The sequence below is a fragment of the Homo sapiens genome, chromosome 4 (assembly GCF_000001405.40).
Source record: "Homo sapiens chromosome 4, GRCh38.p14 Primary Assembly".
Lineage (NCBI taxonomy): Eukaryota > Metazoa > Chordata > Mammalia > Primates > Hominidae > Homo > Homo sapiens.
Window position 1 is genome coordinate 66,044,193 of NC_000004.12, and position 14,483 is coordinate 66,058,675.

General features: G+C 33.7%; 1 long non-coding RNA gene across 6 annotated transcripts in view; it reads left to right on the forward strand.

Moving 5' to 3' along the window:
• Positions 1–14,483, forward strand: part of LOC105377261 (uncharacterized) — a 148,733-nt gene that overhangs the window by 40,992 nt on the left and 93,258 nt on the right. For 4 of the 6 annotated variants that reach the window (XR_938845.2, XR_938843.2, XR_938842.2 and 1 more), the window contains one exon: positions 821–1,168. The exons of 1 other annotated variant lie outside the window; for it this stretch is intronic. This is a non-coding gene — a long non-coding RNA (uncharacterized LOC105377261). Of the gene's footprint in view, positions 1–820; positions 1,169–2,366; positions 2,429–14,483 lie in introns of those variants that run through there. One more of the 6 variants, XR_938844.2, reaches the window with a different exon arrangement.

The window sequence follows — 14,483 nt, forward strand, 5'->3', positions numbered from 1 at the left end:
CAAGTTTTAATTAAACTTAAAGTTTCTTCAACACAACTATCAGCATTTCCAGAAATACTGGTAATACAATTCTTTAGACATACTAACATGTATTAAAGATTTATTCAGTTAACATGAGTAATGACTTAATTTTTATAGCTGAATTTAAATTCCAACATCTGCAATCTTAAGTAAATTTATGATAATTTCAAAAATTTCCTTCACTTGCCTAACATATACTTCCACCTAGGTCTAGTAAGATAATCTTGGATTTTATGAGACAACATGAGATAGAATACGTTAATTTAATACCTCATTATTTATTTATTTATTTATTTGTTTATCCATTTATTTAACAAATATTTATTTAGCTAGCCAAACACAAGAAATCCAGTGGAAACTAAGAAAGCAAGATCACTGTCTTCAATTAGTTTATAGTGTAATAGGAAACACAGCCAAAAAGAATTGTTGAATAGGTGGTAACACATATGACAGGTAAATCCAGAGTACTGTAGGAGAAAATGAGAGTAGACTTCCAAAGTTTAGGACAGGAGTCAATGACAATCTACATGTCAAAATATAATTCTTATAGATAAGAAATAGGAGGCATAGAAGAAAAAGGTGAAACAGAAGCACTACCTTAAGAAAGTAGAATACGTATGCAGAGATTCAAAGATAATAAAAATCTTAAGTTCAGGTTTCTAAATAGTTCATTAAAAGTGAATAATATATAGAAGAGAATTGTGGTTTGTCTTAGTCTGTTTTGTATTGCATGAAAGAATACCTGAAACTGGATAACTTATTAAGAAAAGATGTCTAAATTTGGCCCATCGTTCTCCAGGCTCTGCAAGAAGCATGGCCCCAGCATCTGCTTCTGGTGAGGCCTCAGGAAGCATTCAGTTGTGGAGGAAGACAAAGGAGGAGCAGTTGCGCTATACAGCAAAAGAGGAGGAGGCAGGAAAAGGAGGAGGAGGTAGCCGGCTCTTTGTAACCAGCAGACCTCCCATAACTAATGGAGTGATAACTCACTCATTACTGCCAGAAAGGCAAGAAGGCATTCATGAGGGATCTGTACCTACAACGCAAAGTCCTCCCACTCCTTCTATTGTGGGCTACCTAAAAATGGAACATATTAACTTCCAAGATATTTGGGTGCACAGATATTAAAAATAAAATAAGCTGCCACACACTAATGGAAGATATAAATGTCTTCCATTAATATCTTAGGTTACAATATTCTTTATTTGTGGTTAAGGTTAAATATTCTCAGTCTTCTTGTTAAGAGGACCGAAGTTTAGCATAATAATTAGCACGTAGACTCTAAGACCAGATTGGGTTGTTACTTACCAGCTTTGGACAATTTGCATAAATGTTCTTAGCTTCAGTATCCTTTCAGTAAACAATAATGTTAATAATAGCTCCTATTTCATAAGTTTGTTGTGAGGATAAAAGTGTTATGAAGACATGACATCAATTTCTGATACATGCTAAGCACATTAAGGCCTTAATAAGTATAAATTATTTTTTATCTGTGCAAGAATATATGATTAAGAGACCTATGATCTTTTATTTTTTCACTGAGTTCTCAAATTTGTGTTTCCATTTTTCTTGGACAATAAAGGATTTATTTTACATGTATGCATACTAACCTGCTAGAATATAGCAAGAATATTTTTTCACAATAAAAACCACATAGATACATATAATTGACCCCTCCTATGATACCTCCATCCTAAACTAGAGCTTGTGAATATTTAACCTTAGATGGCAAAATAGACTTTGCAGATGTAATTAAATTAATTACCTTGAGATGGAGAGATAATACTGGATTATCTTAGTGAACTCAATGTAATCACTAGTTTCCATGAAAGTAACAAGGGAAGAAGAAGAGAATAGTGGGGCAATGTAAGAACGCAAATCACCATTGCCGACTGAAGGTGGAGCAAGGGGGTCACGGGCCGAAGAATGCAGGCACCCTCTAGAAGTGGGAAAAAGGGAGAAAATTGATTTTTCCCTAAAAAACACTGAGAACAAAATTTTCATTGGTGAATGATGCTCTAGCCAAAATGAGGGCCTATAAAGTCATTGGTTAGGGCAAAATATGAAAAGACCATCAATCTGGAACATATTCAGTACCAAATAATACAATCCATTCATTCTTTCCTCTTTTTTTCTTGTTTACATAAAACTAAAAGGATATCAAATTTAGTGAGTTGAAGAACTATGCTCACACATTTCCTTTTCATTGCATGGTCTATATCAGAAAAGAGATTGAGGCAAAAACCAATTTGAGAGGGTGGAAATGTTCATACAGAGCACGCATGTATGAAAATATTGAACGTAAAGCTTGATTTTTATTTTTACTTATGCCTGTTTTGTTTTTACAGATCAGTATTGGGATAAGAAAAATCAACTCAGTATAACTGTCAAAACCAAAGAGATTGAGTTGGAACAACTATTTGAAACTTAAATAAAAAAGTTACCATTTTGTAGTAAAAGAAAAAGCAACATATATTGTAGATCAATCTGTTTTATAAATCAGGGGTCTAATGTACCAAAATTAAATAACCAGAGAATAAATTTCTGGTGCTTTAAAAATTATACTCTCTTTTATATTTAAGAAACTAATGTTCAGCAAGCAAATAATTCAGGAGATATTTATCAAAACAACTCGGTTTAAGGTCTGGAGAAAGTGGTAGGAGTGATATTTAAGAAAGGAGAGTAAACACAAAACTAGCAGAACAGATGGCACTATCTAAATATCTGTCCCCCCAGATACGTTTCTGAGGATTATACTGAATCAGGGAGCACATCCAGTAGTGAAATTTATTTGAAATAGAACATTGAGCTAAATGAGCAGGGAGTTACCACTTCTTGAGTGTGCTATGAAAAAAAAGTGTAATTTGCCAACACAAATGATAAAAATGATCTATATCTATTTAATAGTTAATATCTTAATATGGTTCAGAGTTAATTCAATTAAAATCTACTAATATTCAGGGAAATGAAAATTAAAACCAAAATGAAAATTAAAATAAAATGGCTCCTACTAAAAAGTGAAAAAACGATAGGTGTTGGTGTGGATGTGCTGAAAAGATATTGCTTATATGTACTGGTGAGAATGTAAGTTAGTATGACCTCTATGGAAAACAGTATGGAGATTTTTCAAAGAACTAAAAGTAGATCTACCATTTGATCCAGCAATCCCACTACTGGGTTTCTACACAAAAGAAAGTAGGTCATTATATCAAAAAGACACCTGTATGCATATGTTACTGCAGCACAATTCACAGAACAATTCACAGTTCTAAAAATATGGAACCAACCTAAGTGCCCATCAACCAATCAGTGGATAAAGAAAATGTGGTATATATACACCAGAGAATACTACTTAGACATAAAAATGAACAAAGTAATGTCTTTCGCAGCAACTCGGATGGAACTGGAGACCATCATTCTAAATTAAATGACTCAGGAAAGGAAAAACCAAATACCGTGTTCTCTCTTATAAATGGGAGCTGAACTATGGGTACACAAAGGCTTACAGAATGGCATAATGGACATTAGAGACTCAGAAGGAGGGATGGTGGAAATGGACTGAGGGATGAAAAACTACATATTGGGTACAATGTACACTACTTGAGTGACAGATACACTAAAATGTCTGACTTCACCATTACACAATTCATTTATATACCCAAAAACCACAGGCAACCTTAAAGCTATTGAAATAAAAATAAACAAATAAAAATGAATGAACAAACAAAATATATGGAAACAATCTAAATGTCCATTGATAGATGAATGGATAAAGAAAATGTGTTATAAACATACAACAGAGTATTATTCAGACAAAAAAGGAAATTCTGCCATATGCAACAATGTGGATGAACCTGTAGGATATTATGGTAAGTGAAATGAGGCAGTCATGAACAAATACTACATGATTCTATGTATAGGAGTTATCTTAAATAGTCAAAATTATAGATGTGGAGAGTAGAATGGTGGTTTCCAGAGACTGGTGAAGAGGGAAAGATGAAGTTGTTGTTCAACAGTATAATGTTTGTTATGCAAGATGAATAAATTCTAGAAACCTGCTGTACAGCATAGTGCCTATAGTTAACAATTCTGTATTGTTCAGCGTATCTGGAAATGATTCTAACTAGCAACTCCCTAAATCTGACTTTTTGCCTTTGTAACGCGGTAATGAGAAAACTAACAAAAAAAAAAAAAAAGAAAAGAAAAGAAAAGAAAAGAAAAGAAAAGGAAGAAAGAACCCCAAACACAGTAATTTGTATACATGATATTTTCTTCATATCAAACTAAACATGATCATACCATTTGTTCAACCACTAACAGTGTACTAGAAAAAAAAGATAGAATTATTGAAGGAAAATTTTATAAGAATGACATTTTCAGAATTTGAGAAGAAAATAATATGACTAAGTCAAATAATACTGAGTCTTAAGAGTATCAACAGTGTAGGAATTAAGCAGAAGGTAAATTGTTTTTTTCAGAGGAGTAGCTTGACATATATATGACTGAGGAAAAATAAATTTTATAACTATGTCATAATGGACTGCTATGGGACATTCAAGACCACTCAATATGGATGACAACTTTACAATATAGTTTGCAGATTGTAATGAGTTCTAGGATGTTTCTTTACTTTGAAGTTGTCTAAGACTTTTCAAATAATTGACTAGAAAATGAGTTAGCAAAGCCTCTCATGTCTTCTGAGTACTGGAAATATTTATCTGGGACTCTTGGTGAGCTCATCATCTGGTTCCTGCTATAATTATTCAGGCCTGATATCTTTTTTTTTCCCCTCTCAATTAGCTATAGAGTAATACGATACTGCAGGGCTTTCACTATTTCTGTTCTCCCTTGTAATTGAAAGTTCGGCAGAAGTTTAAGGAAATATAGTCTCCAGGGAGCAGCAGGAGTTGTATTCATCACTATTTGGTTTTAGCTGGCTTAAAGGAATGAGATAGCATGAGATAATTATTCTGTTTTCAAGCTGTAATTTATAAAGGCCATGATAATAGTTTAAATTGGTTGCTGTTTTAGGTTAGTTTCAGTGGTTAATTTTCAAAGTTAAACCATAAAAAGATACACGTTAGCATTTCTTAACGATTTTAAATTTTTATTCCTATTATTGTTAAATATAATTTATTGTGCCTCTCATTTTATTCTGGTCCTATGCAGTATGGCTTAACTGAAAAGTTATTTAATACCTCTAACAATTCTATGAGATAAACAATATTATTATTATCATTTGGATTTACCCACTATTATTACCAAGGCGAAAAGGAGGCCAGGAGTTATTATAACTTGCTATGTGTGAAAAGCACTAAGTGGTAGAGCAAGTAATGAACCTGTCTCTGGCAAATAGGTCAAAATAAAAACAAAAACATCCTCTATTCTAAAGAAGGAGCAATGAAATAGGAACATAAATTAAAAATATCAGGACCAATTTGGCTTTACATTGATTTGTAAAAAATAACCTAGACAATTAAAAAAATACATATTCTTCCATTATTTGTATGTGATTTTTATCAGAAGCCTGAGATGAAAGAGCAACTTTCTTGTTTCTTCAGATAAAATGTATCATCTATAATCTCTTCCAAAGATTGTCTACAAAAATATTGGTGCAGTAGTTATAGCTGATTTAACATATTTACTTCTACTCTTTTGTAATTTTGAATGATTGTGGAAAAAGCCTCCAAAATATATCTCAAAGCTGACTTAGATGTTTATAAAAAGAAATGTGGGCAATATGCACACCGCATTCTGATGCCAGACTGACTGGGTTCAAATTACATCTTCATCGCTTCTATCTGTACCTTGGGCAAGATATTTGGCACTGCTAAAAGCCAGTTTCTACACTTGCAAAATGGGTAGACTGTTGTAGAACCTCAATGAGTATTACATGAGTTAAGAAGTGTAATGCACATTGAACAATGCATATCATACAGTAAGCCCTCAAGTATTAATGATTATTATCATATATGCCACAGAGAACAAGATACAATCTGGAGATTTGAAAATATAAAGGTACTCAAACAATGTGTCCAAAGCACAAGTTGACATTTTTATTCTTGATTGCAATAAACAATTATAGCAGGGAAACGTTTTACAGGAATGATGAATGAAGTGAGCAAAACCACATGGCAACCTAAGGACAATATTTAGCCCTAAGCAATTTTGCACTCAAATATAAAACATTTACTCAATCTAACATGTTTGTATCTTACATAGACATATAAAACACACATTTATGATGGATCAAAACAAAACTCCAAGAAGCAGATGTCCATCACTTTTGATCTGATTATAAAAAACCACCAGTAGAATCTTACAGCTCTTTTAGAAGTATATCTATATCCACTATCATTCAATAGGTTCTTAACTCAATTTATGTGAATGTTTTATGAAAATGAGTCTTTAAAAATACTGATTATTCCCTCTATGCTGACTATTTGATGAATTAATGTTGATGTATTAGTCTGTTTTCATGTTGCTAATAAAGACATTCTCAAGACTGGGCAATTTACAAAAGAAAGAGGTTTATTGGACTTACAGTTCCACGTGGCTGGGAAGGCCTCACAGTCATGGCAGAAGGTGAAAGACACATCTCACATGGCGGCAGACAAGAGAAGAGAGCTTGTGCAGGGAAACTGCCATTTTTAAAACTATCAGATCTCCTGAGACTTATTCACTATCATGATAGCAGCACAAGAAAGACCTGCTCCCATGAGTCAATTACCTCCCACTAGGTTTCTCCCATGACATATGGGAATTGTGGGAATTACAATTCAAGATGAGTTTTGGGTAGGGACACAGCCAAACCATATTAGTTGAATACTGATAATAAATTGTTAACTTCTAGGTTATAACCCATCCCAAATGTTGTTAAATACTTACGAGTGGTGCTGAGGCCCATGTAATTGCTTAATCAGATCTCAGAGGACCATTGAGACCTCCAATGAGATAGAAATTAACTGTATTTTATGTCTTAATATACAACGGTTTCTCCTTATTGTAAACATTTCAGGCAGATGTGATTTGTGACCATTAATTAGATAATTGAATATAAATTAGCCCCTTTTCTCCCAAGGGAAATGCTTAATTTTCAGATATTCAATAGCTGTTGGCCATTTGTTGCATTCCTGGTTTGAACTGAACTTCCCACTACTTAGCTGTGTTATCCTCTGCTGAAACAACTTTTACACAGGATAAAAAAAATCAACCAATCACAGTCCCACACAAAATTGCAAAACCTCAAAGGCTGGTGATAAAGGAAATAAAATCTCCAAAGTAGTTAAGATTTATAATATAAATTGTCACTTTCTAAAGAAGCTCCACAGATACTGTATTAAGTTTGTGTAAATTGGCTGTGGTAACAAATGGACCCCAGAATTTTAGTGACATAACATAATAGAACATTTCTGAAAGTGTGCACGTCACTGGGGGCTGTTTTACAAAATCTTGCTGGCATAGAGTTTGGCAGACCTTTTGCCATCTTTGGCATTGTTTTCCAGTGTCAGCCTAATCTTATTTACATAGTCAAACAAAAGAAGCCATCATCATTTTTCAAATGAAGGAAGAGAGAAGAGGAAGGGTAAACGTGTCTGGAAGATTATTATATTCCACTGTGGAAGTATCACCTACCACTTCTTCAAACACATGGACCAGAATTCACATTGCTCCACCTGCAATAGAGCCTTGGAAATATACTATGATTGTGCATCTTGGAAGAAAAGGAAGTCAATTTTGATGAAACACTAAAAATTATTGCCTGAGAATGTATTTATATAAATATTCTCATTTAAAGATTATTAAATAGCATATTAATGAAAAGAAGCAAATAAATTCAAGTAAAAGATTGAACAGAACTAAACATGATTATAGAAAGATAAACTCACTGTCATCACCTAGACTCACTTCAGCCTGGCAGAGTATGTGTGTTTTAATTGTCCCCATATGTCTAATCTTCCACTACTTTTCTTCTATGTCCAAGCTTCATTCAAAGTGTGAAAACTGATGAAGGGAATATACGTCCTGAATTTGCTGTAGATGCAATCACCTTAACTTTGAAATTGTTTACATACCAGGCATCAATTCAGCTTAAAATTCACCTTTATTCTCTGATCAGAATTCCCTAGATTTAAAAAACAAAAACAAAGATTTAATAAACATATAATCAGTAACATTGATCATACAGATTTTTGTGAAAATATACTGATATTGAATCTTCATACGAAAACATAGCCAGACCAGAGATCTATAGAAGTTGTCAGAAGACTGTTGAGGAAAAAATGACTTTTATTTTCAGTTATTTAAGAAGACCTTGATACAGGATAGGGGATAAAATTTGGATGTGTTCCTAGAAAAATATGAGGTTAATAACTGATGGTTGGGAGAAAAAGAACTTCATTCCTTGAAGTCAGAAGTTGGCAGCAATGCACACTGAGGGAGAGGATGCCAAGAAGCAGCCATTAGCAAGTGGCATTGTCATCACAGAGAGAAACGAGAGTGTAAGAGAGGGATGTGATTCTGAATGCATATATGAGAAACTCAAAATATAATGAATGTAATTAGAGAAAGGTAAATATAATGTTTTGCAGTGATAACCTTGAGAGAACTTCTGCCATTGAAATTTGCATCATAGGAAAAATTTCTTAAATATTATAACAGAAAAGGAAATTTAATAAGTAATTATAATTGCTATTTTACAAAACATTATTTCATGCAAGTAATATAGATGCTAAGACAGGTAGCAATACAAAAGTAATTTTTAAAATACATTGTAGTCATTTTAATTCATTATAAATTGATTTTCTACTTGATTAATCTTTGTGCCAAAGGTTTTTGTTTTGTTTTGTTTTTGTTTGTTTTGTTTGTTTTGTTTTTTTCCCAGAAGTAGGTGTTGTCAGCTGGTGGAAAAAAAAGGAAAAAAAAAGTAAGACAGGATATCTAGATTTTAAGATGCAAAGTGCAAAGGGACTCTGAGAAATTACATGGAAGTCTATGACGAAAGTAAATAAAACAATTTTGATGCTACACAATTCCTTAGAAGACCTGTAATAGGCAGTAAGAATTACCATTATTCTTTAGCGCATTATAAATGACACTGCCTAAGTATGTTAATAATGAACATTTCATCATAGTTGAAAATTTCACCTAGTTCTAGTATCATTAAATATGAGACTAAATGACCTAATAATTTTAATAATATCTTAGTTTTGCACAGGACTCTGCATTTTAGTTTGTACAGGGCTCTACAGATTATTTGATAAGTATAGCATATTGATTTTTATAATAACCTTGTATAATTACCAAGCTGGTATTAACATGATTAACAACAAATATATATAAAGAAAAGAGAGCCTATAAAATAACTCATTTAATGTTAAATACACATACACACACACAAACACACACACACACACACACACAAGTGCACGCAAAATATATAAAAACAGAAAATAAAACAGTATTAGTGGCCAGAATAAAGGCTAAGACCAGCAAGAACAAATAAGCAAGGTTTCTGGTATAACGGTAGCTCTGTTTTCATTAAACAGTATTGAAGACATATTATAAGCTATATCTAAGTTAGACTTAGAGTTGTCTGAATCTTCTACAAAATCTGTAGTTCAAAACTGAGCTCCTTATCTAAGCTTTTTAGCTTGCTCCTCCTCTTGTATTTCCATATTAACACTGGTCCCATTCATTTACTGACCCCAAAATACTCATTTGTTTCTAGCTTTGTACACCATTCTATCAGCCTTAAAACTACGCAATTCTGCCTCTAAAGGGCTTCTCAAGGGGAATTGATTGCAATATTATTACAATAGGTAGGAAACAACGAACTAAAGCAATAGGAATAGTGAGGAAGTAATGGAACCAATATGTGTTCTTACTGGCCGCATCTCCATAATGAGAAAAGTGAGAAAAACAAGTATAGAAAAATGTCCAAAGTGCCCAAAAAAATGTAATACCAAAAATAACATGTAGAACCCAAACCAAGCTTATGTAAGAAATTAGGGACTCATACAGGAACCACTGACATGCAAAATGAGATTTCAACTGATTTATGCCTATGCCTATGAGAGGTAGAACTTGTAGGCAGAACTTGAGCTAGTTATCTGCTAGGTTGATATGTACATTCAATATCACCATGGGGTACCAGTAACCAATTTTTAATAAAACAAAAACAAAAAACCAAATGAAAATTTATTCTGCATGACTACAAAGAGGTAATACATAGAAGTGAGTAAAAACAGAAAGTTTAAAAATATAGTAACTGAGTTTCAAACTAAAATTCTAAAGCATATAGGAAAAATAAAATAATAAGCATTCATAGTGACAAAATATAATGGAACAATCTGAAAATGATTAAATAACAAGAATCAATATACAATTAATTTCTAGTTACATAACTTTTATTATTCCTATATACATTAATCACACTTCTTTGAACTAGTCAAATTTTGAAATATTGAAAAGGTTGTTGTATGCTCCTTTGGAGACATTGTTTTTGCTTGTCACATTTAGTATTCACTTCATTATACTGCTTAATATGTCTTAATTTTTTTTCCCCTTCAGTTCAAACTAGTAACTTTCCTTGATATCAACTACTCAAGGGTTAAGTATTCTACGTAATATGAAGACATTTATTACTAAATATGCAATTCATCTTTTTTGGATAAATCATTACAGTTCCTGCTGAATTCACTCACAGAAAATTACTTTTTAATGGCACCAAATGAAAATTGCAATCAGAGAAACAAACATGTTAAATTTCAATTGCAGCTTAGATTTGCAGTGTTATTCTGTAAGTTCCTTACATAACTGAGGGGATATGGAATAGTGGAAAATACAAAAATTTGAGCATTCAACAGACCTGATGTCAAATCTTAGTTCTATTACTTACTCATGTGACTTTGAGTGAATTGTTAAAGTTCTCTGCATTTCACTTATAATCGGTATCCTTATCCATAAGGTAGACATAGAAATTACATAGGATAGCATCCTTAGGGTGCTTGCTACATTAACCAACACTCCTCAGCTGCTTGATAAATAGTAGTGTTTATTGTGGTCATTTTATTGTCTTTGTAGTTATGATCTCATCTTATCACCTGCTGAAATACACATATAATTCCATCCTTGTTCCTTTTCAACATTAAATAAAACTTTTAACTTTAAAAACGTGTTTAGTAACCTGTATTGTTTTGAGCACTGACACAATGTAAAGAGGTCCCCAGGTAAAGAGAATGACTTTCTCAGAACTTAGTCCAGCACTGTTGTTTGAGAAAAATGAGTATGTGTGTGTTGATTTTCTAAATAATGTCGGGCTTTGGATTAAAATGCAGTGCTTACCGTGTTTTGTTCACATAGTAGTTTTATAAATGCTGGCTTACTCATTTATGAACTAGTTTGATATTTAAATATGCATTAGATCTATATCCATAAGAAGCCTATGAGGTAGGCACTGTACTTAATAGAAAAATATAGTACAGTAGAGATATAGTCATTGCCTTCATGGCATTTACAGTCCAGAAGGAAAACATGTGGGTTAGGGGCAATATCTTTCCAAGGATATGTTCAGTGTGATATAGGACTAAATTGGAAGTATATAAATCATGTTTTGCAATGTTTTGTGTTTTAAAATAATATTTTTGAGTTCACATTACATTATTTTAATGTACTTCAGTGTAATCCATAGTTAACATTTTAATATTCTCAAAATATTATTGCTATAGTACCAAGCAGGAAGAACCTTATTATCCTGGAAGTTGATACAGGTGAAAATTATTCAATAAATTTAGGGTATATTGATTAATGACTAACATAACATTGCTTGGATTGTACAAGTTTCTGGTGCATATTATTATTTCAGTTTGGCACAATGAATCCATTAGGCATGTCTCTGACATGAATTGTATATCATAATGTCACAGACAAATTTATAGTTTATATCTGCATAATGTTACAACTATTACAGCTTTAATTAGGTGCTTTATGATGAGTCATGACTTTTGTTTCCTATGTTAGAGAAAAAAAAAAACCCAGATATTTAGTCATTAAATTCCTGACAGAAGAAGACATCTAGTTGATTTCATGTCTTTGTAGCTAGATCAATATAACTCATCCTGAAATTCTGATAGCCTTTTTATCTTAGTCAGTTCAGGTTGCTATAACAAAAATATCATAGGTTAGGTGGCTTAAACAACAGAAATCCATTTTTCACAGTTCTGGAAGCTGGGAAGCCTGAGATCAAGGTGCCAACTGATTTGGTTTCTGTAAGGGTCCTTTTCCTGTTTATGTTTTCATAGGGCAAAGAGCGAGAGAGAGGGAGGGAAAGGGAGACACAACACACAAACACACACACACACACACACACACACACACACACACACACACACACACACAGATCCTATCTTGTATCTATCTCATAAGGACACTAATTCTATTGAGGGCTTCACTCTCATGACCTAACTACCTCCCAAAGGCCCAACCTCCAAATGCCATCATGTTGGGGAGCAGGGCTTAAACATATACATTTTAATGGGTTTAAAAACATCCTGTCCATAGAAGTCCATCCCTGGACCCCCAAAATGTATGTACTTCTCACATGGAAAACAAGTTGATTCCATCCCAAGAGCTCCAAAGTGTTAACTTGTTCCAGGGCAAACTCGCATGTCTGAAGTCCACAATCTCACTTAAATATCATCTAAATCAAATATGGGTGAGACTTGAGGTACAATTCATCTTGAGGCAAGATTCCTCTCCAGGTGTCAATCTGTGAAACCAAACAAGTTATGTACCTTCAAAATGCAATTATGAGACAGATACAGGGTAGACATTCCCATTACAAAAGGAAAATAAGAAAGAAGGGGTGACGTGTTGTAATCTCAAAACCTAGCAAGCAAAATACCATCATATTTTTAGGCTCAAGAATAATCCACTTTGAACTGATGCTATACCTTCCAGGCCCACTGGGGCAGCAGTTCCACCCCTAGGACTCAGTGGAATGGTGGTCCCACTCGCCCCACCCCCACAACTCCAGCCTTTGGAACAAAGGTGATGTCCCTGTTCATGTGACTCTGCTGGCAGCAGTCCCTCCTTTTGAAACCGAAGTGGAGGCAGCCCTGTCCTCCAGTACCATAAAAGCTGAGCCCATGGTGGAAGTTGCATCCCTGAAGACCCATGAATTGCCTGTGGGGTTATTCTTCTCTTGTCTTGAAGAACAGCACAGTTTTGTAGCCAAATAGCTCTATAGTTTCATCCTGTAGAGTCTATGAAGTCTGACAACCTTCTTTCATTTTATCCCATTTTATTTATCTCCTTTATTCCAAACTGGGAGTGTTTTTTTTGGGGGGGGGTGAATGATGAGGTTCATGGTTCACACACATAATAATAATCTCCATATCAAAGGGTTGTTTGACCACACCCTTTGTATTCTCTGTATCATGGATAGGCTGGAAATTTTTCAAATCTTTATGTTTAGGTTCCTTTTTGTTTAACAATTTCTTCTTCAATTGATTTCTGTCTTCTTGCATTTTATCATAAGCAATCAAGAAGAACCACAATGCTCTTTTAATATTTTGCTTAGAAATCTCCTCAGCTGATTATCTAATTTCATTGTGCACAAGCTCTACCTTCCACAAATCACTTGAACACAAATGCAATTCAGCAAAGTTGTTTGCCACTTTATAAGAATCATCTTCTTCTCATCCAGTTTCCAATAACATGTTCCTCATCTCCTTCTAAGACATCATCCAACTGGCCTTTAGGTCCATACTTCTACCAACATTCCATTCATGATTCCATGTATGTATCCTCTGAAAAGAGGGAATATTTCCCAACACCTCTCCTTTTTGCTTTCTGAGTCCTCATCAGAGTCAACTTTAGCAATCCTTTCAAAGCAATATTGGCTTTTTATAGCACATACCTCAAAACTTCTACCCTCTTCCCATTACCCAATTCCAGAGGTGCTCCTCATTTTTAGGTATTTGTTTCAGCAGCACTTGACTTCTCGGTACCAGTTTCTGTCTGAGTCTTTTGTGGTTGCTATAACAAAAAAATATCATGGACTGGGTGGCTTAAACAACAGAAATCTATACCTTACAATATGGAGAATGGGAGGTCCAAGATCAAGGTGACAGCCAATTCACTTTCTGTCAAGTCTCCTTTTCATGATTATGTCCTCACATGATGGAGAGATGTCATGTCTCTTGTGTGAAGGCTTCTCTGTCATGACAAAATACCTCCCAAAGTTTCACCTCCAAATACTAGCACTTTGGGGATTAGGGCTTTATTATATGAATTTTGTAAGGACACATACATTCAGTCAACTTCTCTAGGTTGGCATGGAGTTAGGAAAACCTACTCAGAATACAAAATAGTTCTAGGAGATGAGAATACTTCATAGAACTTTAAAAAGAAAAGCTTCTAGAACTTCTTCTAAAGCATAAGTTTTCTTGAATGTATCTCAT